This window comes from Homo sapiens, chromosome 2 (genome assembly GCF_000001405.40).
Source record: "Homo sapiens chromosome 2, GRCh38.p14 Primary Assembly".
Lineage (NCBI taxonomy): Eukaryota > Metazoa > Chordata > Mammalia > Primates > Hominidae > Homo > Homo sapiens.
Genome location: NC_000002.12, coordinates 155,813,094 through 155,840,343, shown reverse-complemented (window position 1 = coordinate 155,840,343; position 27,250 = coordinate 155,813,094). Strand labels below are relative to the sequence as shown.

General features: G+C 35.9%; 1 long non-coding RNA gene across 4 annotated transcripts in view; it reads left to right on the top strand.

Annotated features, from left to right (window-relative positions):
- The window catches only part of LOC105373703 (uncharacterized), a 158,249-nt gene that overhangs the window by 73,970 nt on the left and 57,029 nt on the right, over positions 1–27,250 (top strand). For 2 of the 4 annotated variants that reach the window (XR_007088689.1, XR_001739749.2), the window contains one exon: positions 26,200–26,379. This is a non-coding gene — a long non-coding RNA (uncharacterized LOC105373703). Of the gene's footprint in view, positions 1–538; positions 7,584–26,199; positions 26,380–27,250 lie in introns of those variants that run through there. The other 2 variants (XR_001739751.2, XR_001739750.2) reach the window with 2 other exon arrangements.

Below are 27,250 nucleotides of genomic sequence, written 5' to 3'. Positions count from 1 at the left end.
TAAGCCAGCTCATATTTTCCTGTAGCTTCTCTTTCTAGTTAAGTCTGCAAACTAATTTGGATTAAACTAAAACAGACTTTTGCTCCAAGCATTTTGAAAGTTTAAAGAGTTTGGCTAATTTTGGTTGTCTTTTCAAAATATTTCTTATATGGCTTCATGTCTGTGTCCTGGAAGGGGACCAATATGTGCTTAAATCTTTCAAGAAGTTGCTCTTTTCTTCTGCCCAGGCTTCTGAAAGGCAGCAAATACATGGAAGTTGTAAGTCTTTCTGCCTGCTTTCATCAAATGAGATGCCGGACAAAGTTCATTGTCACTAGGATTCAGAGTCATTGGGGGAAAAATGTAGAATGCACTGCATTAAAAAATACTGTCATTCTTCTGGTATTATAAAATCTAGTATGTACTTAAATCACCTTTTAAGGAAAATGAAAAGACATGTATGTTCCAAGTCCTTTGTCATCTTTGTTCCTCTCTTGTTCATACTCACTGACTTTATTTCTTGCCAGTTAACCTGAAATCACACTATTTTAATTTCTAGTTTAGATTCTGTGCTATCATTGGTACATGGTACTACACAGTGATGCTGTTTAAATGAAGAAATCTACTCTTCTAAAAAATCTTTGCCACTGATGCCACATACAAATACCGTATGGACTAGCTCTCAGAGCCAAAGCAGGAAAAATCGCCAAAGGGTAAAAATAGTTCTTGATATGATGATACGCTGCTAAAAGCCACATGGTGTTTGGGTGCAGTATTTCACAGTCAAACAATCATAATTTCATGCCTAAAATGTGCATGTTATTTCAGGAAAATACAAAATCTGAGCATTGCACATTTGCTACAGAATGACCAGTGAGTGTTGCTATAATGATTTGTTTTTCTTTTACAAATGAATATTTCTTGCTGAGCCTTTTCATGCCATATTGCCTGGGGCGGCAATGGAAGTAAGGACAGACTGAGGTTAGAGTTGGAGGGAGTATTGGGGATGTCTGGTCTTTTCTGCTAAATTTCTATAATGCTACAGAGTAGGTATAGTATAAAAAAAAGCTTCCCTTTTTGTTTTCTTTCTTTCTTGAAATGTTAAGTACTGTAGTTCTCATCTTAGAAGAAGAACTGGGTTTTGTGGGGCTGGATGGTAAGAGACAGCTTTTTCAAAAGCATGGTTTATATCTTTCTCCAAGAGTACTACGGTTCTCATGTGATCTTTAGTAAATATTTATGATATGAAACTCTCTCTCCCTTAAAGTTGTAATGGATTTGGAGGGTTCAATTGATCTGAGCCCATGGTCATTGCAGTAGAAATACAAGAACATATTATAAATGTTAGTTTCTCTAAAATATTCCTCATAATTTGTTTAAGCTATATGATACTCCACAGTCAGGCTGAAGAGTGAGAAGGATAGGTATAAAGAGAAATCTGTAAAAATTGGAAACGACAAGGAAAGGGAATTAGTATATGTTTTTTGTCTTGTTTTGTTTTGGTAACAAAAATTGCTTATGCAAAGAGAAAAAATCTCCTGACATTATTAAACAAAAGTGGAAGGTTTGTGGCATCCAGCAAACTAGAAAAATATTTAAAGTCCTGGAGAGAAAAAATAAAATAAAACAAAAACCAGTTGAAAGTCCATATCATGACCTCATACTCATGAGGATGGATGATTAATCCCGGTATCAATGCAGGGTAAATGAAAAAGGATTTGGTTCCTTACCATAATAATAATTGATAGCATTATATAAGAGCTTACTGTGTGCCAGGCCCTTTAAGAAAATAAACTCGTTTAATTATTTATAAAAAAATTTACAGGTACTATTACTATACCCATTTGGCAGAGGAGGAAACTGAGGAAGAGAGAAGCTAAGACACTATAGACAAACCTTTAGAAGAACATTAGCCAGTAAGTGCAAGCTGGATGACTGAGAAGAGTTGGGAACTGTGGCTAAAGGTACAGAGAGACACAAGCTGTTGTCATGAGGTCAACTAGAACTAATGAAAGAAATTACTAAGTGTTGTATTAATAAAAGAAGACTATGTAAAAATTAAATACTAATATAATTAAGTGATGTTACTCTGTACACTTGTCTTCTACCTCAACTTAATAGTTTGTAGCCCCAGTGGCAATATATTTTTGAACTGGAGACGATCTTAAAGGTCATCTAGTTCAGTGAAACACAACATTTTTTCTGATAGGAAATGAAAGACAACACTCACTTGCAGAGCACATCCTGATATGAAGAAACTGAAGGCTGGAGCGATTATCTCAAGACTTCATAGATAATTAGTAGTAGGATAAAGGCGCCAAATCAGCTGTTCTGACTCCCAGATCAAATTATTAAATATATGCGTGGTGAAGAATAGGGGAAAAAAGACAGTATCTCTGAGGCCATACTGCTAAAATGCATACTGGGGATATTGATTGACTATCTATTATGTCTCAAGCATTATAACACATAGAACAGATGTGACTCCAATTATCATGGATCCTATGGCTAGCAAAGGAAATGGGTCAGCAACAATACAGTAGGCTCTTATCCATGGTTTCACCTGAGGTTTCAATTACCTGCAGTCAACTGTGGTCTGAAAACATTAAATGGAAAATTCCAGAAATAAATAATTCATAGGTTTTAAATCCTATGCCATTTTGAGTAGCGTGATGAAATCTCCTGCCATCCTGCTCTTTCCTACCTGGAACATGAATTACCCCTTTGTCCAGCATATCCACACGGTATATACTGCCTCCCAGTTAGTTAACATTATCTGCTCCTGACATCCAGCCGATATTGTCAGGGCTCAGTGATTCAGGATCACCCAGAGCAGATGATCCTCCTTCTGATGTATCACCAGAAAGTCAAGAGTAGTCAAACGCTATGTGACAATGCCACTGTCATTCACCTCACTTCATCTCATTATGTAGCTACTTTATCATCTCACATCATCACATGAAGAAAGGTGAATTCAACAATAGATATTTTGAGAGAGAGAGAGACTGCATTTACATAACTTTTGTTACAATATATTTTTATTATTATTCTATTTTATTATTAATTATTGTTGTTACCGTGCCTAATTTATAAAATAAACTTTATCATAGATATGTATATTTAGGAAAAAAGCATAAGATGTATAAGTTTTTGTGTTATCTAGGGTTTCAAGCATCTACTGTGAGTCTTGGAATGTACTCCTTTTGAATAAGGGAAGACTGCTGTAAGGTTGTAGTAGAAGAGGATGCTTTCAGATCTTGGAGAACACGTACCAAATCTGGACTCAAAGACTTCGGGGAAAGTTTCAAAAATGTTTACTGAATAAATGGATAAAAGCTTGTCAGGAGAAAAATTAGAGGAAAGAAAGATCCAGCCAGACATAAAAAAGAGAGTATTGCATAGAGGAGCAACTTTTAAGAAAGTGTTGTTTGAGTTCATTACAGAGTCTAATGGGAAGTGGGAAAGGTGAAGATAAAAGGGTAGGCAGGGGCCAGTTTTTAAAGAGCCTTCAGTACAGTATTAAGCAGTTTGAAATTTATCTCAAGGACCTTGAAGAGTTTTTAACAAGAAATTGGTATTTAACAGATTTAAATTTTCGCAAAATTACCCAGTCTGTAGTGTGAGTAGATTCATGACAAAGAAACTAGTATAAGAGATATTTAGCAACAATCCAGGTGAGAGAGAAAGTGTCTTGCTGTTTTGGTAAACACATGCAGATGGAGGGGAATGGATGGATTTGAGAGGTTTGAGGGGCAGAATGGTAAGCATTGTGCTAATTAAGTATAGTATGAATGGTGACAGAGCAAGATGTAAAAATCAAAACAATGCTAAACTTTATAGTTTATCCCTTTATCCTGGTATATAATAGTGACATTTGCCAATTTTGGAAATAATGAAATGTGGATTTTTAAATGTAATTCTCAGAGGAGGAAACTAACAAGAAATAGATTTTAAACAAACAAAAAAATCTGAAAGTAGTGTGACAGAAGTCGAGAAAAGATAATTTTAAAGAGAGAGTGGTCAGCAGTGTCAAATGCAGTGGATAGAACAAGAAAATTTACAACTAAAAAGAGTTCACTGACTCTATCAACTGGACGCTTGATGAGAATGATTTTAATGATGGGGTATAACTGTTGAATTGGAGGAGGCTCAGTGTGTTGCCAAAAGAATATTACACTCAAACATGCTGCAGGAAGACAACCAAATGATAGCTCCAGGTGTTGCACTTCTGGATTCACCACTGTTGGAGCAGAGTCCATATTTACCATTGGCTGCCTATCGCCAATGACTGAACACAGTAGGGGTGTCTTAGCCCATTATCTGTTGCTATAACAGAATACCCGAGACTGCGTAATCTGTAAAGAAAGGAGTTTTATCTTGGCTCATGGTCCTGGAGACTGGATAGTTCAGGAAACATGGTGCTGGTGTCTGGCGAGGGTCTCCTAACTGCATCATAAAATCGTGGATGATATCACACAGAAAAAGCATGTGAGAGAGAGACAGGACAAGAAGGCTGACCTGTTTTATAACAACCAGCTCTCACAAGGACTAATCAATTCCTATGAGAACTAATTCATCTGGTGGAAACTAACCCATTCTCACAAGAAAGACATTAATCTGTCTTAACAACCTAACCACCTCTTAAATGTTCTACCTCCCAACGCTGCTATATTGTCAATTAAATTTCAGTATGAATTTTGGCAGAGACAAAGCACATCCAAACCATAACATTCTAGTATCCCCCGACAACTCGTGTCCTCGTTATATGCCAGATGTAATCATTCCATCCCAATAGTCCCCAAAGTCTTAATTTGGTCTGGCACCAACACAAAGGTCTAAGGTGTCATCTAAGACTCAAGGCAAACCCTTTCCAACTATGAGCCTGTAAAACCAAAAATCAAGTTATCTACTTCTAAAATACAATGGCAGAACAGGTATAGGTTAAACATTCTTATTCCAAAAGGGAGAAATAAACAGGAAGAAAGGAGTAACAGGCCCTAAACAATCATGAAACTCAGCAAGGCAGACATTAAATCTCACAGCTCCAAAATAATCTTTCAATCCGTGTGCCATTTTCTGGACACAATATCTTAAAACTGTGCCATTGTCTGAGACTCTTCCTAACCAATCCTTCTTCCTTCAATCTCTCCTTCACAGGGATCCTCAACACAGTGTGAAGGTTTTCCTCACCTATTCATGATCCCTCCCCTTCCTCTTTTGCAGGTATTTTCCCAGACATCTCTTAACGCACATTAAATCTTTTCTTGATATCTGCTCCTCTAAATTGCAAACAAATGTTGAACGCTATGAATATTTGTCTCCTCCAAACCCTGCATTGAAATTTAATCCCCAATTGGGAAAAGTTGAAAGGTGAGGTCTTTAAGAGGTGATGGGGTAATGAGGGTTCTGCCTTCAGGAATGAATTAATCAATTCAGGAATTAATGGGTTAATAGATGAATGGGCTATGATGGGAGTGTGACTGGTGGGTATACAAGAAAAGGAAGAGAAACCTGAGCTACTACACTCATTCTCCTCACCATGTGATATCCTGTGCTGCCTTGGGACTCTGCAGAGATTCCCTACCAACAATAAGGATATTATCAGATGTGGCCCCCTTGATCCTGGATTTCTCAGACTAAGACATTTAGGAATCAATAAGAGGTGAAAACTGGAGACATTACCATGCAAAGAACATTTGCCAGAAGTGTGGTTATCAGGAAGGAGAGACCATAAAATGAGTAGAGAAGTTTATCTGAGAAGTCACAAAGGATAGAATCTGGAGGCCAGCAGAAATGGTAGCCTTAGCAAAAGGAGAACACTTACATTTTCACAAAATGGGGAGGAGAGTAGGATAAAGATGCAGGTGATTTTATAGGTTTAGTGGTAGGATATTAAAGCAATTGTTACTTCTTGGCTTTTAAAAATTCTATGAATTAGGAGGTGAGGCCTCCCTTGAGAGGGAAGGGGAAGATTGAACATTGGAGGAAGAAAATAGACACTGTGGTCCCTACAATGTACAGCATTTGAGAGAGAGCAAACCAATAAACAGCAGGACTCCAGGGCAGCTTCAAGGACCAAGTTAAATTTGGTTGGTTGCTTTTATCTTTCCAAAATGAGCACAGTAATTTTGTTACAGGGTGATAGAAGGCTGAAAGTTTGAGTTTAATTTTAATTTCCCCGTTTTCAACATTGTTCTGACTACATCCATGTCACTATCATTCGCTGTTTGGGCAATTTAAATGAAAGCATTTCTCTGAGATTTCAAACTAGTGTAACTGTTCTTTCAAGACATCTGGCTTCTTTAAAAATCTTGAGAGTCCTTTTAATAGTAGTAGAGAGACTCTCTCACTTTAGTATAAATAGTGCTACCTGATTTCTAGTTCTTGACTAAACAAAATGCTAAAACAATAAAAATATATCTTTGATTTCTTCTCACCTTTCCATTGGATATGACTCCTGAGACATTTGTGTTCTCTAGGTGGACCTACTTCCCATATTATACCTGCCATTTATTCCCACCACTCATAAATAATGAAAACTCAAAGTGAGCCCATGAGGGCTAATATTTCACCACATTAGTAGCCTGAAGATACATTATTATGTTTGCAATTATGGTTTTCTGAGACATCACATTTGTAGTTTTGGATAAAGGAATGGAGAAGAAAAGTGAAAGTCTGATGTATCCTACAGCAAGAAAAAGTAATCCTTAGCAACAAACTGATTGTAATAAGATTCAGAGATAACTATGAGTTTTATTTTTTCTGAAATAAATACAAAGACAAAATGATTACCTATGATATTAACATTGGATGTTGCTTTATTACACACAGAAAAATGTTCATATCAGTTTCTTAATTTTATTTTTTAAACTGCATTGGCAAAATTGTTTGTAGATTGAGGTGCTATAAAGAATTTTAGAGTACAAATGCATTTTTAACTGTTAGTTATACATAGCATTTGCTGAAAATTCCATCACCTGGAAGCACAATTGAATATGAAAACCGACTTTGACCTGTTCCCACAAAGAAGAAGAGAGTGAAAGCAATGTTCCAAAATAAAATAACATAGAAAATGATGGTAATTAAGAGAAAAAAAATTCTAATAGTATTAACTACATTCTAAGAATCACTAGTATTAATGAAGCTTTTATAGCTATAAATATTCTTTGTAGTAATAAAGCTTTTTTAACTACAAATATTCTTTATATATTTATATTCTACTCTCCAATCCTTTCTGTGAAAATCATGTATTCAGTTGCTACTACATTCATAAAGGCCTCCTACGAAATGGAGGAAACTTAAGATAATACAAATTCACGCTTTATTCTTTGAGGAAATTTCTGAATACACTGATGATTTATAATCATTGTATTTTATATAAGGTCCTTATAAAAATACTACAGAGAATATATTACTTTCATGAACAACAATGTATTTATTTTTATCTTGCCTTTCTTTGAAAGTGAAGGAGACAGCTTTAGTATTTTCAATTTTTTTTTAAAGAGAGACACATATTTTTCATTTTAGCAAATTATTTTCTAGTCCCAGCAGAAACACAGGAAACTGCAATTAGGCAGAATTTCCCAGAATTATTGTGTGTGTGTGTGTGTGTGTGTGTGTACATGTATATATATATATATGTATTTTTACAATTTTATATACATATTGTATATAATTACATATCCAAAGATGTATACAATTATATATATGTATATACAATTTTACATACATATATACACACATATATATACATATATGTAAATATACATAAACATTAAATGTCAAGACAACTGATATGAGAAATATTTTAAAAAGTAATCTTCAAGGTAAAAAGCGAGTTTATCCTAATGATATAAACCATAAATACCTACAATACTTTGTAAGTTACTGCTCAGAGATTTTCATGAGTATGAGGCACCATGAGACCATCAACATTTTCTGAGTAATTGAAAAAATCAAAGAAATACTTAATATTTAATGTAGGTTCTATAGAATGCATATTATACTTATTTCTTAATAATCCATGCATTGGGTATATGTTAGTTTTTAATTAACTATAACATCATTTCAAATTATTTTGCTTAAATGGCCATTTATAAACAGCATTTTAAATGGATTTTTCCATCTTAAAAAAGAGAAAAATATATTTAATATCATGCCAGAAGTGTAAACTGTATAATATAGACAATATTAAAGCCTTACTGTTTTGTAAGTATCAGACATTTTAATCATCATCTTCATCATCATCATCATCATATCTTTTAGGAATTGAGTTTAAATTTTCAAAAACAGTTATTCTATAACTACCAATTTTTAACTTTTATGTTTAAAGCTTGGAGATTAATGGTGGTTTTGAATAGCAACAGAAAACTTAGAAGCTCTTAAGCTAGCTTTTATATTCATGCCTTACACTTATGTAACTTTTACCTTTTATAGGCTTCATTTTGATTGCTGTGATTCTTGACATATCTGATGTGTTTTGTTATGAGTAGTTTTAACATGTTTATAACTTTTAATACATGAATGAATTCAGTTTGTATTCAAATTTAACACAATTATGAATAAATAATGTAGGCACTTTCTTAAAGCACTGTATACTTACAGTGGAGGATTCACCATTTCATGCCTACATGCTAAGGAAATTTTTATAGTTATTCTCTTTATAATGACTATAATTATGACAAAAAACAAAAAAGGGTTGAACCTTTGTGAATACCATTGAATAGCAATGTTTTCCCTAGTGATTTCTAGATAAATCCATTTCTCCCTTGGACCTTAACACTCTGTGATTTTTATTTTTTTTCAAAAAAATCACACTTATTGGGACTTTGGTATTTTGAAACTTGGTCAAACTTCATGAGAAAATAACCTAAGAAATCATTCTCAAAATTTAAATGCACACTATTTTTAAATTAGACTTGAGAGTGACAGGCAAGTCACTTACAGGGAAAACCTCAGAAGGGGAGGAAAAGCCTGGGGCCCCAGCAGCTGAATGCCCGAGGCAATCTATAACTACAGAACTGGTCTGTGAACTTATGCTGGTAGTGCATCTCACTGGACAGATTTGCTTGCTGGAGATTTTTTTTTCTTTTCCTGGTTTTAAATCAAGATAGAGAAATCATTTTGCTATGACATTATTTAAAAAAAGAAGTCAGGCGAAACTTAAGTAGTGAGGTGTATATTCTCTTCTCAGTATGTGCCTGAAACTCTCATCGACACTGACAGTAGTTATGCAGATGCATGCAGAAGAAAATAGACCCCTTTTAACATTAAACATCAGATTTGGGTTTCCCCAGAGAACACCGGTTACTGAAGTGGCTGTGAATGATGCATTCTCACAGAATGTTTCAGCCATAAATCAATCCTGAATCATACTTTTCCTAGAGTTCTTTTCTACTCATTTGAAATCCTAGTGTATTATGCATGCACTGACTCTATTTCAGACTAAGCCTAAATACATTTACCAAAATAAGATTCAAATAATTAAATGTGACTTTTATAATTGTTTTCCTCTGAAGATCCAGAGCCTAATCTGGCTCTGGTTAATCATTGTAATTTGACTTTTAATACAGTGTCAGTTTATTTAGTTGGAATTAGTTTTCTATTTCTCTCCTTTTTGTAAGCGCTGCCTGTTTACTTAACAATATTTGGCTTTGCCTAATGATATGTACAGAAGACAGTGCTAAGTGGAACATCAGCTGTTTACATCAGCTCTAACAATTAATGCATGTTAATTTTTAATTACACTGATTGTACTAGAGGCAGAATGTATGTTTCTTCACAGAACAGATGTACTAGTCAGCTTGGCTGGTGAACATGCATATCGATCAGATGTTGATGCTGCCAGCAATTCAGCAAAGTCTGCTAAGAGTGTCGGCTTCTAATGTACTTACAAGTTTACGGCTTAGAGTCCTGGTAGAGGCAATACAACTCGATGCTATATCCTCTAATGTTTACAGATAATCACAGTATGTCTGTTTTGTGGTTAGCATTCTACAGTGTATAATTAGAAGATTGACTAGGTATGAGGGGATCCAAAGGTGTCATTGCCTGTGGACTGCTTTCTCCATTATCATTTGCTGTGGTCTCTTCAAAGATTTTTTTTTTAAAACTCATGTTTCTTTTCTTGTGTTAATACTAGATCTCTAACACTGATGACCAGTCTTCCTTCAAGGAGAATGTAAAAAGCAATATAATTACTTGCAAAGAAATCTGTCTCTATTGAACATCATCACCAAAGCTAGATGGGAAATACATAGAAAATGCCAGCAGCTAAATAGCAGACAGTCGACAGGCTCTCAGTCAATGGCCAATCAATCAAGAGGCATTTCTTGAATGTTTCAGTATTTTGAGCATGTCACTAAGTACTATGGGTTACCTTGTCATGAAGGGTAAAAAGAAATCTAAAAGACCTTTGCCCTTAGGGAACTCATAATCTTACTCATAACTCACATGAAAAATAAGACTCATATGCACAAAACAAATAAATTGTTTTGTAAACTGCAGTATATATGCTCTAGTTGATAACATGTAGTTGGTAATGTATATACTCAGAATGTAGGAAAAGCTTTATGATAGAGTTGAACTAGAGTAGAACTGGAGTTGTTTACCCAAAATTATGGTTTGAATATTGATATGATTTGGCTCTATGTTTCTACCCAAATCTCATCTCAAATTGTAATCCCCACGTCTTGAGAGAGGGACCTGTAATCCCCATGTGTAGAGGGAGGGAGGTGATTGGATCATGAGGGTGGTTTTTCCCATGCTGTTCTCATAATAGTAATGAGTTTTTATGACGTCTGATGGTTTTATAAGTGTTTGACAGTTCCTCCTTCACATGCTCTCTCTCGCCTGCTACCATGTAAGATGTACCTGCTTCCCCTTCTGCCATAATTTTAAGTTTCCTGAGGCCTCCCTGGCCATGGGGAACTGTGATTCAGTTAAACCTCTTTTCTTTATAAATTACCCAGTCTTGGGAAGTTCTTTATAGCAGTGTAAAAACGGACCGATAGAATAAATTGGTACTGCAGAGAGTGAGGTACTGTTAAAAGGATACTTGAAAATGTGGAGGTGACTTTGGAACTGGGTTATGGGCAGAGGTTGGAACAGTTTGGAGGGCTCAGAAGAAGACAGGAAGATGTAGGAAAGTCTGGAGCTTCCTAGAGACTTGTTGAATGGCTTTGACCAGAATGCTGATAGTGACATGCACAATGAAGTCCAGGCTGAGGTGGCATCAAATGAAGATGAGAAATTTATTGGGAACTGGAGCAAGGGTGACTCTTGCTATGCTTTAGCAAAGAGACTGGTGGTATTTTGCTCCTGACCTAGACATCTGTGAACTTTGAACTTGAGAGAGATGATTTAGGATATCAGGCGGAAGAAGTTTCTGTTTTTGTTGGGAAGGCATAATTGGTTTTGAAATGTGAAAAGACATGAGATTTGGGAGGAGCCAGGGGTGGAATGATGTGGTTTGGTTCTGTGTGCCTACCCAAATTTCATCTCAAATTGTAATCCCCACGTGTTGAGGGAGGGAGGTGATTGTATCATGGGAGCAGTTTCCTCCATTCTGTTCTCATGATAGTAATGAGTACTTATGAGATCTGATGGTTTTATAAGTGTTTGGTGGTTCCTACTTCACATGCTTTCCTTCTCGTGCTGCCATGTAAGGTGTGCCTGTTTCCACTTTTGCCATGATTTTAAGTTTCCTAAGGCCTCCGCAGCCATGAGGAACTGTGAGTCAATTAAACCTCTATTATTTATAAATTACCTAGTCTCAGGATGTTGTTTATATCAGTATGAAAATGAACTAATACACATATAAATGTATTAAGCAGTATTTTTTAAACTACTTTGCCAAACTCTTCTACATCATTCTACAGACAAGAATATCTAGCTAAAACATCTTTTGTTTTTTTTCTTTTAGTGTATTCCCACCTATTGTCCTCTAAAACATTTATAAAGAAATCTCTTGGGTCTCTTTTTACTAGTGGATAGAAATGACTCTCTGATTTAATCATTTTGACACACTGATTAGACTTTAAAAATTCTGATTCTAAACTTATATTAAAATATAAATGACCAGAAATAGCCATAGCAACCTTAAATAAAAACAAAGATGAAGGATATACATTACCAGATTTCATAGTGTATTGTAAAGCTTTAGTAGTTAAGACAGTGTGGTTTGATGTAGTTATAGTTTAAAACACCAAAGCAACTAAGAATTAAGAGATAGGCCTGCTTATGCCATGACAATTTTGTGAGCATAAGATTGTTTAATAAATAATGCTGGACAAATTCTATATCCATATGAATAAAAATGGACTTTAAAATAGATTGTATACTAGACATAGAGTAATTTAGGATAGTTTATAGTTGCAAATGTGAAATGTAAAACTATTATGTTTCCAGAAAAAAATATAAGACAATATATTTATGACCTTGGTGGAGACAAATATTTCTTTAAAAGGGCACAAAAAATTAGCTCTAAAAGAAAAGGTTGCTACATTGGAATTCATTTTAAAATAAATAATTTTGTTCATCAGAAGATATAATAAAAAGAGTGAAGAGGTAGGCCACAGATTAGGAGAAGATATGCAATGCATATATCTAACATAATATATAAAGAACTCCTAAAAATAAAATAGAAAAAGACAGCCAAACCAGTTTTTTTAAAAAATGGGCAAAGAACTCAAAATGGCACCCAAAAAACACTATTCATTTGGCCAACATATGGAAAGATACTTAACATCATTAGTTATAACGGAGATGGAAAATATAATCAGAATGAGATATGCTACCAGAAGGGCTAAAATTAAAAGAACCTGATAATACCAAAGGTTGTCTAAGTATGGAGCAACTAAAACTCTTATTTATTGCTGATGCTGGTGTATATTGGAACCATGTTCTTGAGAAATTGGCAAATATTACTAAAGTTAAACATACATATATTTATGACTCGTAAGTTTCATTCAGAGGAGTATGCTGAGAATAAATGATTATGTTGATTAGAAAGTATATGATGATTGTTATAAGAGCTTTACTTATAATACCCCCAAACTGAAAATGATCCAAATGACACTGAAGAGAACAATGACTTGTTATGGCGTATTCATACCATGAAGTATTATATTGGAATGAAAGAGAAAAAATTATTGCTATACATAACAGCATAATAGTATCTCAGATGCATAATGCTCAGTAAAAGAAGCAGATATCACAAAAGTACCTCTATGTGATTCTCTTTATATGTACTTCAACAGGGAGGAAAATGGGAGCTCCTCTTCTGATATCACTGTGAGGAGCTCCATGGGTCCACTCCCTAGTGAAACTAGTGAGTATTATAAATAAAAACAACATTGAAGTTTTCAGAAAATTGTATATAGCAAATGAAAAAAAAACCACTTATTCAAAGAAATCTATTATACTTAGTAAAAACTGCAAAAGCTTGGATACTTAAACCAAGACCCATGCCTTTCATCACCCCTTTTCCAGATCAGCTGGACAGAAACTCTACTCCAAAATGGAACAGCCAAGAACACAGGCTTCTCTCTTTTTCCAGCATCAAGTTGGAGGGCTCTCTTCCCTTATGGTTCAGAACATCAACATTTTTCGTCTTGATCCCAGCTACCTGTTTCTGAATCTAAATTCTGGATGAGTATGGCTAAGGCACGGAGGACCCCTTTTATTGCCTAGTCCTCACTTATGGGAAAAATGATGTAGTATGGGAGTGGTGTCTGGGCATACTGGAGCCCCCAGTTGCCCTTGCCCTGGTTCATGGGATGAGGATTTCATAAGAACAAAGGAAGCATGCCAAAGATACCTAAAGATGCTGCCCTCTTCTTATCCACTGAGTGTTCAGCTCTTCAACTGGGGTGTCATTTAGAAAGAAGCTCGCCATTTTCCCTGTCCCAACGCCAAACACTGGGTTAATATTTTGTCTGAGAAAACAAGCAAGCCGTAGAACAGAGAACTTCAAAGGCCACTTTAAAGAAAGGAACTTCATTTGTAGCAAAATGCAAAAAAGTCAGGCACTGGAGCACTCTCAGGAGGACATCTAGGTAAAAAGCAGTTGACAAGTGATGAACACATTCATGTGAAATATGAGCTATTCTTAGAGAAGCTAGCTTGTTGGAAAGAAATGGAGAAATAGACAGCTTGCAAGAGCCCTTCTGGTGTCAGAACAAATCTCAAACACTGACCTTTGGAACTACACCTTCAAGTAGCCTAAATTTGATTGGATTAGTGTGTGGAACAATTTATGCCCTGGGATATTACTGTAAACAGTAGAGCAATGAGCCAGCAATTGCTGGAGCTTAACATCTGGTGTGGTAAGGAGAGATAAAGAGAGTCCTGTCGAACCTAGAATAACTCTGGGCTTACCAAAGGGTGTGTCCTCTGAAAAGCAACATCACGCAGACTTCACTAAAACAACCCAGCCAGTTACTAAACAAGTAAAGAAGAAAATATCAATAACCAGCTCTAGAATGGAGAGGAAAATTGCTACAATACATTATCTAAATTGTTCAGTTTCCAGAAAAAAAAAATGAGACATTCAAAGAAACATGAAAGGATGAGCCAAATACTAGAAAAAAAGCAAGCAACAAAAACTGCTGGTGAGAAACAACAGAAATTGTGTATAATAGATAAATACTTCAAAGTAGCCCTTATAAATATGTTCAAAGAGCTAAAGAAAACCATTATTAAAGAAGTAAACTATGATGAAAGTGTTACATTAGATAGGGAAGATCAACAAAAACATGGAAATTATTTGAAAAATAGAAAAATCTGAAACTGAAAAGTGTAATAACTAAAATGAAGCATTTACCAGAGGGGCTCATTAGTAGATTTTAACAGGCAGAGGAAAGAATTAGAAAATTTGAAGACATTAATGAGGAAAAATAAACAAAGATTCAGAGGAAATGTATACACAGGTTGAGTATCCCTTATCCAAAATGCTTGGGAACAGAAGTGTTTCAGATTTCAGATTTTTTTAAATTGTAGAATATTTGCATATACATAATGAGATATCTTGGAGAGGAGACCCAAGTGTAAACACAAAATTTATTTATGTTTCATATATACCTTATACACATAGCCTGAAAGTAATTTTGTATAATATTTTTAATAATTTTGTGTATGAAACAAAGTTTCTGCATATTGAACCATCAGAAAGCAAAAGTGTCACTATCTCAGTCACTCACGTGGAAAATCTGTTTTTGTTGGCATCACCATCGTTCCTGAATCTGAATTTCTCTGCTATCAGTAAGTAATTATTTTCTTATACTTATTCACACATATGTACTTAACAGTAAAAAGTATGACATATCAGTAATAGTGAAAAAATTATGTGTTTATGGTAACTAAGAAGCACAGTAGCAGCACCAGAATACCTGTGTAGGCTGTTAAACAACAGCAACAGGAAACAACAGCAGGCTTTCAGTCTCCACCTGCAATTGTGTGTCTTGATTAAAAGGTTACTGTACAGATGCTGAATGAACTGTGTGTTGTGGGCCTGTGTTTTGACTGTGACCCATCACCGAAGTTAGGTGTGAAATTTTCCACTTGTGGCATCATGTCAATGCTCAAAAGTTTTGGATTTTGGAGCATTAAAGATTTTGAATTTTTTGAATTGAGGATGCCTAGTCTGCACATGTATACACACACATACCTATTTAATACATATATAATGTATATACACACACATACATTCATACACTATATGTGTATATAGTATTGTTGGACTTAATAACACATAGAATTGTAATATATTGTCTAATAACAGCACAGAACATGTGGGTTGGATGCAAAGCTGTATTGGGCTAAGGAAATGACTACAAATAAAAACTTGAAACCATGGGAATAAACAAACAGAATCACAAATGATAGATGAGAAGGTTAATATAACAAAGCTATAAATAAATATTTGCTCACCCTTCGTCCCTTAGTTTCTTTAAAGTACATAATACTATATAAAATTATGATTTTAATAAGCGTCATTTGGTTTGAAGAAATAAGTGTAGTGTGTTTGAGAGTAATATCACAAAAGGAGGGAAAGAAAATAGTTATATGGGAGTAATGTTTTCCTATCTCAGTGAAATTAAGTTTGTATAAATATAAAGACATTTCTTATAAGTTAATATCTATATGATAAGCCTGAAAGCAGCCACTATGGAAATAACTTAAACAACAGAGTAAACCATTCATAAAAATATATTAAAATACTTCCAGAGAAAATATTTACCTGATGCAAAAAAAGCAGTAAAAGAGGAAAAGAGGAGGAAAAAGACACAGGAGATATAAAAACAAAAAGCAAAATGGTATGTGAAAATCCAATTATGTCAATAGTAACAGTAAATCTTCATGAATAAAATATTCCAATTCATAAGGAGTAATTTTTAGACAGGATTAAGAAAAGATCTAAGACACTTGAGATTTAAATATATGAATCAATTTAAAAAATAAAAAATGGAAAAAAGATTTACGCAAAGAAAAAATTAGGAAGTGACTATAATAACAATAAACAAAATAGACTTTGAAACAAATAATGTTACTAGACATAAAGGAAGATATTTATAATGATAAAATAATCAATGCATCAGGAAGATATCACAATTATACGTATATATGCACTTAATAACAGGGCACCAAAATGCATAAAGCAAAAACTGACAGAAATGAAAGGTGAAATAGATAATTAAACACTAATAGAGAACTCAGATGCCCACTTCTCATAACAGATCAAATACATCAACAAAAAAGAAGACTCGAAAAACATTATAAACAAATGAAATCTAATAGATATATGCAGAACAGTCCATTCAATATCAGAAGAATATACATTCTTTTCAAGTACACAGGGAATATTCTTTAAGGTAGTTAATATGTTATGTCATTTTAAAAAAGCTCAGTAAGTTTCAAAGAATAGAAATAATATAAAGTATGTTCACTGACTACAATAAAATAATGTCAAAAAAACACAAATTAGAGAAACTTACATATACGTGGAAATTAAACAACAGACTGGGCTTTTAGTTTAACCATCAACAGAAGAGTGTACATTGTACTCATTAAATAATTTCCATCCCCCACCCCCTCCCACCATTTCACATTTTAAGTCTCCAATGTCTATTATTCAACTCTCTATGACCATGTGTACACATTATTTAGCACCCACCTATGCATGAGAACAAGTCAGTATTTAACTTTTGGTTTCTGATTTATTTCCTGTAATATAATGGCCGATGATTGCATACATTTTGCTGCAAAAGACATGATTTTATTCTTTTTTTATGACTGAATAGTGCTCCATGGTGTATGTGTACATGAGTGTGTGTTTGTGTGTGTTTGTGTGTACATATACAGAGCACATTTTCTTTATCCAATGATCTGTTGATGGGCACTTAGGTCAATTTTATATCTTTGCTATTCTGAATAGGGCTGTGATAAACATAAAAGTGCATGTGTCTTTTTTTTTGTTTTTCATATAAAGATTTCTTTTCCCTTGGGTAGATACCAGTAGTGGGATTGCTGGGTCGAATGGTGGCTCTATTTTCAGTTCTTTGGCAATCTCCATACTGTTTTCCATAGAGATTGAACTAATTTACATTCCCACTAACAGCGTATAAGTATTCCCTTTTCTCCACACTCTCACCAACATCTGTTGTTTTTTGACTTTTTGAGAATAGCCATTCTGACTGGTATAAGATGATATCTCATTGTGGTTTTAATTTGCATTTCTCTATCATTGATGTTGTTTAAAGTTTTTTCATGTTTGTTGGCAATGTGTATGTCTTCTTTTAAGAAGTGTCTTCATGTTTTTTTACTCATTTTTAAATGAAGTTATTTGTTTTGTTTTTTCTTCTTGAGTTGTTTGACTTCCTTGGAGAATCTGGGTATTTGTTCTTTGTCAGATGCATAGTTTGGAAATATCTTCTCCCATTCTGTAGATTACCTATTTACTCTGCTGATTATTTCTTTTGCTGTGCAGAAGCATTTTCACTTGAGGAAGTCCCATTTGTCTACTTTTGTTGTTGTTGTTGCTTGTGCTTTTGAAGTTTTGGTCATAAATTCTTGGCCTAGGTCAATGTCCAGAAGTTTCTCCTAGGTTTTATTTTAGGAATTTCATAGTTTCAGGTTTAATTTTAAATGTCTAATCACCTTGAGTTAATTTTTGTATATGGTGAGAAATAGGGGTCCAGTTTCATTTTTCTGCATATGACAATCCAATTTTCCTAGCACAATTTGTTGAATAGGGTATTGTTTCCCCAGTGTACGTTTTTAGTTGACTTCGTCAAAGAGCAGTTGGTCATAGGTATATGGCTTTATTTCTGGGTTCCCTATTTTGGTCCATTGATCTATGTGTCTATTTTTATACCAGTACCGTGCTATTTTGGTTACTATGAACTTATCGTATAATTTAAAGTCAGCTAATGTGTTGTCTCCAGTTTTATTCTTTTCATTTAGACTTGGGTTGGCTATTCAGGGTCTTGTAGGTTCCAGGTGAGTTTTCTGACTTTGGTATTTTGATAGCAATTTCACTGAATCTGTATCTAGCTTTAGGGAGTATGGTCATTTTAACAATATTGATTCTGCCAACCCCTGAGCACAGGATGTTTTTTCATTTATTCATCAGTGTTTTGTAGTTTTCCTTGTAGAGACCTTTTATCTCCTTGGTTAAATGAATTTCTAGGTATTTTATTTATTGTTTTTGAAGCTATAATACATGGAATTAATTTGATTTTCAGCTTAGTCATTATTGGTGTATAGAAATGTTCCTAATATTTGTGCATTGATTTTGTATCCTGAAACTTTACTGAAGTCACTTATGACTTTATCCATTTCCTCTAGGTTTTCTAGTTTGTGAGTGTAGAGCTAGCTGTTCCTAAAAGTCTCTCATGATCTTTATAGTTCTATGGCATCACTTGTAATGTCTCCATTTTCATCTCTGATTTTGCTAATTTGAAGCTTCTCTCATCCTTTCTTGGTTAATCTAGCTATCAGTCTATTTATTTTGTTCATCCTTTCAAAACATTAACTTTTAATTATATTAATCCTTTTTATTTTTATATTTTGGTCTCAATTTCATTTAGCTCTTCTTTAATGTCTTTTATAATTTTTTCTTCTGCTAGCTTTGAGTTTGGTTTGTTCTTGTTTTCCTAGTTGCTTGAGGTATAATGTTAGGTTGTAAATTTGTGATCTTTCTATTTTCTTGATGTAGGCATTTAATGCTATTAACTTCCATTTCCATACTGCTTTTGTAGTATCCCAAATGTTTTGCTTTATTGTGCATCTATTTTTATTCATTTAAAAAATTTTTTAATTTCCACATTAATTTGTTGACACAAAGATAATTGAAGATCATGTTCTTTCATTTCCATGTATTTGTATAGTTTCCTGAGTTCTTCTTAAAATGAATTTCTGCTTTCATTCTACTGTGGTCTGAGAAGATATTTGATATAATTTTGATTTATTTAAACTTATTAATATTTGTTTTGTGGACTTACAGTTGGTCTACCTTAAAACTTCCATGTAATGATGTGAAAAGTGTATATTCTGCAGTTGTTGGGTAGAATATTCTGTAAATGTCTATCAGGTCAATTTTGTCTACAGTCTAATTTAAGTCCAGTGTTGCTTTGTTCATTTACTCCTTTAATTATGTTTCTAGTGCTGTCAGTGGGGTGTTAAAATTCCACTATTATTGTATTGCTATCTCTTTTCTTAGGTCTAGTAGTGTATTAGTTTTCACACTGCTATATATATACTACCTGAGACTGGGTAATTTATTAAAAAAAGAGGTTTAATTGATTCACAGTTCCATATGGCTGGGGAGGCCTCAGGAAACTAACAATTATGGTAGAAGGTGAAGAGGAAGCAAGGCATGCCTTACATGGTTGCAGGAGAGAGACGGTGAGGAAGTGCCACACTTTAAAGTCATCAGGTCTTGTTAGAATTCACCTACTATCACAAGAACAGCATGGGTGAAACTGCCCCCATGATCCAATCACCTCCTACCAGGTTTCTCCCTTGACATGTGGGGATTACAATTCAAGATGAGATATGAGTGGGGACACAAAGCCAAACCATATTATTCTGCCCCTGGCCTCTCCCAAATACCATGGTTTTTTTCACATTTTAAAACCAATCATTCCTTCTGAACAGTCCCCCAAAGTCTTAGCTCATTCCAGCATTAACCCAAAAGTCCAAGTCCAAAGTCTCATCTGAGACAAGGCAAGTTTCTTCTACCTATAGGATGGTAAAATCAAAAACAAGTTAGTTACTTCCATGATACAACTGGGGGTACTGGCATTGGGTAAATGTTCCCATTTTAAGTGGGATAATTCAGCCAAAACAAAGGGGCCACAGGGCCTCTGCAAGTCAAAAACTTGGCCAGACAGTCATTAAATCTTAAAGCTCCAAGCAGATCACCTGAGGTCAGGAGTTCAAGACCAGCCTGGCCAATGCACTGAAACCCTGTCTCTACTAAAAATACAAAAATTAGCCAGCCATGGTGATGGGCACCTGTAATCCCAGCTCCTTGGGAGGCTGAGGCAGGAGAATTGCATGAACCTGGGAGGTGGAAGTTGCAGTGAGCCAAGATCATGCCACTGCACTCCAGCCTGGGTGACAGAGTGAGACTCTGTCTCAAAACAAAAAGAAAAACAAAAAAAAAACCTTAAAGCTCCATAATCTTTGATTTCATGTCTCACATCTAGGTCATGCTGCATGCTGATGCAAGGGGTTACTCCCATGGCCTTGGGAAGCTCCATTTCTGTGGCTCTGCAGGGTACAGTCCCCATGGTTTCTTTCACGGACTATCATTGAGTGCCTGCAGCTTTTCCAGGTGCATGGTGCAAGCTGTTGGTGGACCTACCTTTCTGAGGTCTAGAGGACAGTGGCCTGTTTCTCACAGCTCCATTAGGCATTGCCCCACTGGAGGTTCTGTGTGGGGGGCTCCAACCCCACAATTCCCCTTTGCACTACCCAAGAAGAGGTTTGCCATGAAGGCTCCACCTCTGCAGCAAACTTCTGCCCAGACATCCAGGAATTTCCATACATCCACTGAAATCTAGGTGAAGGTTCTCAAACTTCAACTCTTGTCTTCTGTGCACCTGCAGGCCCAAAACCACATGTAAGCCACAAAGGCTTGGAGCTTGCACTCTATGAAGCAATGGCCTGAGCTGTACATTGGCCTCTTTTACCCATGCTGGAACTTTTGGCTGGGATGCAGAGCACCAAGTCTCAAAGCTGCACAGAGCAGTGGGGCCCTGAGCCTGCCCCACAAAACCATTTTTCCCTCCAACACCATGTGTAAACCACCAAGACTTGGTGCTTGCACTCTCTGAAGCAACGGCCTGAACTGTGTGTTGGCCTCTTATAGCCATGGCTGGAGCTTTCAGCTGGGACACAGAGCACCAAATCCCAAGGCTGCACAGAGCAGTGGGGCTCTGAGCCTGACCCACAAAAACTATTTTTTCCTCCTAGGCCTCTGGGCCTGTGATGAAAGGGGCTGCCTTGAAGATCTCTGAAATGCCCTGGAGACATTTTCCCCATTGTCAGTGATGATTAACATTGGCTCCTCATTATTTATGCAAATTTCTGCAGCCTGCTTGAATTTCCTCTGAGAAAATGGGTTTTTCTTTTCTACCATGGTCAGTCTGCAAAGTTTCCAAACTTTTACACTCTACTTCCCTTTTAAACATAAGTTCCAATTTCATATCATCTCTTTGTAAAAGCAAGGTCACCTCTTGAATGCTTTGCTGCTTAGATATTTCTTCCACCAGATACCCTAAATCATCTCTCTCAAGTTTAAAGTTCCCCAGATCTCTAGGACAGGGAGAAAATGCCACCAGTCTCTTAGCTAAAGCATAGCAAGACTCACCTTTGCTTCAGTCCACAATAGTACCAGATCCCCATCTGATGAGGACTTCATTGTCTATATCACTGTCAGCATTTTGGTCAAAATAATTCAACAAGTTTCTAGGAAGTTCCAAACCTTCCCACATCTTTCTGTCTTCTTCTGAGCCCCTCAAACTGTTCCAACCTCTGCCCATTACCCAGTTCCAAAGTCAATTCTACATTTTCAGATTTTCTTTATAGCAGCAGCCTACTCTGCTGGTACCAATTCTCTGTGTTATCTGTTTTCACAATGCTATAAAATAACACCTGAGACTGTATAATTTATAAAGAAATAAATTTAATTGACTCACAGTTCTGCATGGTTGGGGAGGCCTCAGGAAACTTATGATCATGGTGGAAGGTGAAGAGAAAGCAGGGCACATCTTACAAGGTATCAGGAGAGAGAGAGAAGGTGAAAGTGCTACACTTTAAAGCCATCAGCTCTCATGAGAACTCACTATCACAAGAACAGCATGAGGGAGACCACCCCCATGATCCAGTCACCTCTGAGCAAGTCCCTTACTTGACATGTGGGGATTACAACTCTGGATGAGATTTGGGTGTGGATATAGAGCCAAACCATATTAAGTAGTATTTGCATTATCATTCTGGGTGTTCCAGTGTTGGGTGCTTATATATTTAGGATTATTATATCTTCCCATTCAATTGATCTTTTTATCATTATATAATGACTCTGTCTTTGTTAACTGTTGTAGATTTAGTCTGTTTCATTTGACATAAATGTAGTTAATCCTGTTTGCTTTTGGTCTCCAATTGTTTGAAATATCTTTTTCCATACTTTACTTTGAATCTATGTGTCTTTAATAATTAGATTGGTTTCTTATAAGCAGCATATAGTTGGATCTTATTTTTTTAATTCATTCCACTAATCTATACCATTTAAGTGGAGTATTTAATTCATTTATGTTGAAAGTTAATATTGATATGTTAAGTTTTGTTTTGTCATAATGTCGGTTGTCTAGTTGCTTTATAGTCTCAATTACTGTTTTATAAGGCCTGTGAGTTTTATAATTTCATGTGTTTCTATGACGGAGATTATCAAGCTTTCATTTCAAGGTTTAGATTGCCTTGAGCCTTTCTTGCAGAACTGGCCTAGTGATGGTGAATTCTCTTAGTGTTTGCTTGGCCAGAAAGACTTTATTTCTCCTTTATTTATAAAGCTTAATTTAGCAAGTTACAAAATTCATGATTGATAATATTTTTTATTTAAGAATCTGAAAATTGGACTTCAATCTCTTCTGGCTTGTGAGTTTCTGCTAAGATATCCACTGTTAGTCTTATGGAATTTCCTTTATATGTTATGAGATGCCTTTTTTTTCTCTTGTTGACATTTGAGTCTTATTTCTTCATATTGACTGTGTGTAATTTGATGACTATATGTCATTGTGAAGTCTGTCTTGCAGTGTATCTTGTTAAAGTTCTTTGAGTCTTTATATCTGGATGTCTAAGTCTCTAGCGAGAGTAAAGAAACTTTCACTTATTTCCTCAAATAAGTTTCCCAAACTTTTTTCTCTTTCTTCTCCCTTAGGGATACCTACAACTTGCAGGCTTGGTTGTTTTCATAACCCTGTACTGAGTACAGGCTTTATTCATTAAAAAAAATGTTTTTCTTTATTTTTATCCCACTGGGTTAATTGGAATGACCTGTTTTCAAGCTCTGGGAAACTTTCTTTCACTTGGTCTCGTTTATTGTTAAAGATTTCAGCAATAGTTTTAAATTCCTTCAACAAATTTTTAAATTCCAGATGTTTGGCTTGTTTTTTGTTTTTAACATCTATATATTTAGCAAATTTATCATTCATACCTTGAATTATTTTTCTCATTTTTGTGTGTGTTGATTTTCAACATTCTCTTAGATTTCATTAAGCTTCTTTAAAATAAATATTTAAAATTATTTATCTGATATTTCAAAGATGTCATTTTGCTTAGGTTCAATTGCTGGACAGTTAGTATGATCCTTTTGGTGTGTTGTAATATTCTGTTTTCTGTACATCCAAAATTGTTTCTATGGTTTCTTCTTAACTGGATAAATTATCTCTTCTTATTTTGTAATGTACTTATTGTTTCATTTGGGAAGAAATTTTTTCTTTTCCAATTGATGATGTGAGTATAATGTATGTTGTGTAAGGTCATTTAGGTTTGGTTCTGGGTGCTTTCAGTGGCAAAGAATGTGTAAGTTCCTTGGTTGTAGATAACTTTTGTGTGGTGGCTTTTTAAAATGCTGGCTATAATAGTGATGGACTGGGTGTGTGAGCTAACTCACTGCCTCCTGTGGGGCTGGGATGCTAGAGGTCTCAGGAAGCTTATTTTGTTTCCCAGTGCTGTGCACTTGTGTCAGCAGATTTTGTAGTGGGTTGTGCAATTCAACCTTCAGGCCAGTGGGTGGTGCTTAAGGGTAAGAGCTGGTTATAGCAAAGGCAGATGGGAATATGCTTGATCTTTGTTTACTTAGTGAAGCTCTCACTTGTCTGGGGACATGAACTGGTTTGTGGAATGCACAGTGGCTTGAACTCCCTTTTCAGTCCTTGAGTTGGGGACAAACCTGGGCTGAGTTGAACCACCAAGGCTGCCCTTGGAAATCCCAACATCAGGCACAAGCACCAGCCCTGATTAGGATGGCAGGGTCAAATTTATTAAGATCTCTGCAGAGGAGGAGCAGGGCTGCCCCAGCTCCAAGGCCTAGGCAGGCAAAAATGTGATCTGCTCCCTGCCACACCCTTGTCTCAGTGCTTGGGACATGCAAATAGGATGGACGCTGCCGTCTATCTCCAGGCGGCAGTCAGTATAGCCAAGAGCCATGAAAGACATTTGCCTTCTCGCTCACTGTTGAAATATCTTCTGTGCAAAATCTCCTCTTTCAGCCCAAAACACTCAGGTTTTTGGCTCTCCTGCTCACCACTGCAGAAATGTTGCTGTTCATGTAGAGATGATGACAGGCCTCATCTTTCATGCAAGCCTGGGCCCAGTGGGCATACTGCCAGTGGGGACATGGCCATCCCTAATAGCCCTAGAATGGCTATCCTCTGATGTGTCTTTACCAACCTATCACATGTGAAGCCAGGGCTGTCTCTGAAGCTGTAGGTGGGGAGAGGAGAAGTTCCTCTCTCCCTCTCCATGTCCATGCCTGAGCACTGAGGCTTTCTGTCCACTGGGATGGAACCACACTCCTTTGTTGCAGAGACAAGCACACCACCCACATCTCTGCTGGAAGTGGCACAGTCACTCTCAGCCTACCAGCTGGAGCTCCCGGGCCAGGAGAGTGTTTGCACTGGTCTCCTCTCCGTTCACACTCCTTTGGTATGCTGCTCTTTCCCTTCTCTCTGGAGCAGCCCTCCCTGAGGGCTAGACCACTGGTAATCCTGCCGCTCCCCTGGGTCCAGCAAGTCCTGTGTAGCTGTTACAATCCAAGTGGGTGCCAGGGAATGTCTGCAGTGTCTCTGGTGATATGGTGACACAAGGGCTGAGGTTTCCTGAGTTGGACACAGTCCCCCAGTCTGTGTACTCAAAGTATAGCACTCACCACCACAGCTTGGATCTAGCGGGAGGGCAAGTGACTTTGCGTGAGCTGGTAGTCTGGTGTAATGCTCTTAAGAAGTCCCTAAATTGACACTCACAGCAATGTTTGGGTTTTCAAGGAAAGAGGAGCACTCTTAGTTCAGACACTGGTAGTCTACTGCAGGGGCAACGGGAGACAATACCACACACACCTACCCTTTTGATGAAGTAACAAGTCCTTTGGGTTCCCAGCCAATCCCTGCCAGCCTCGTGCTTCCTTCTTTGTCTGTGCCCCAGTTTCTTCCTGTGAGTTTTTCATAGGCTCCGGCACTTTCCCCTTGATAACTTTTTTTTTTTCCTGAAGGAAACTGGTATCTGATGTTTCTAGTCAACCATCTTGAAAAGAGAAAGAAAGTTAATCTAATTTTGACAAAGATGCCAAAACCATTCAATGGGGGAAAAATTGTGTTTTAGGTGAATGATATTGAGAAATTGGATATCCATGTACAAAAGAATGATATTAGATTCTATCACATCATATATAAAAGTAACTCAAAAGTTTTTCAAAGACTTAAATGCTAGAGCTAAAACTAAAACTCTTAGAAGAAAGATAGGGCTAAATCTGCACAATTGCAGATATGACAATGGTTTGTTTACATATGGCATCAAAATATGAGCAAAACAATATGAACAACAAAAGAAGAAGATAGATAAATTGGACTTCATCAAAAATTTTTAAAAAGCCTCGCTTCAAACTATGCTAAATGCCTAAGCTCTTTGAATTTAATATGTAGTGTTTCTGTCCTCCAGCATCTGGAAATCTGCAGATTTGGATGCACAAACAATTAGACATAAGACACAGCATAATGAAGTATTTGTTTTCATAGAGGATCATAGAAATTCATAAACAGAGGATGAAGAAACACAGAAGACAGAGGAAGGATTTAGTTTTGGGAACATGTGCTAATGGCCATCAAACAATTCTGAAATGTAAGTAACATTTCAAAAAGCATAATTTTTTTTGGCCCTTATGTTCTGCTTTTTTCGGTTTATAATGATAGAGAACATCAGTTATCATCAATAGCTTTATAGAAGGGTTGTAGCTAGTTTATATCAGATAATGATTTTACTGTCTTTACTAAATCTAAAAATATATTAAATATATTAAAAGCAACAATAATTAGAATAACATTTTCCTGGTACAGTGATAAAGAGATCCATGAATTCACGGTCCAGAAATATATTCAAGTACACTCAGGCAGTGCATAAAGATGTTTTGGTCAATGATAGATTGCATATAATGTGGTGATCCTGTAAGAAGGTAAAGGAGCTGACAATTTTCTGTCTCCTAGTGATGGTGTAGTCATCATAATGTTATAGTTCAATTACTTTATTTTTAAATAAATTTAGTGTAGCCTAAATATACAGTGTTTATGAAGTCTACAGTAGTGTTCAGTAATATTCTAGGCCTTCACATTCAATCACCATTCATTCACTGACTCAGCCAGATTCCTGCAGGCTCCATTTATGGTAAGTGCCTTATACAGGTATACCATTTTTAAAATCTTGTATACTGTATTTTGTGTACTTTTCGTATGCTTAAAAATGCTTAGATACACAAATGCTTACTATTTGTTAAAATTGCCTACAGTATTTAGTGCAGTAATATGCTTCACAGGTCTGTAGCTTAACAACAACAGGCTATGCCATGTAGCCTAGGTGTAGGCTATACCATCTAGGTTTGTATAATGCACTCTAGCATGTTCGCTCAGTGACGAAATTGTCTAATAATGTATTTTGTAGAACATATCCCCATTGTTAAGTGATGAAGGACTGTACATATAGAAATAAAAGTTCTCAC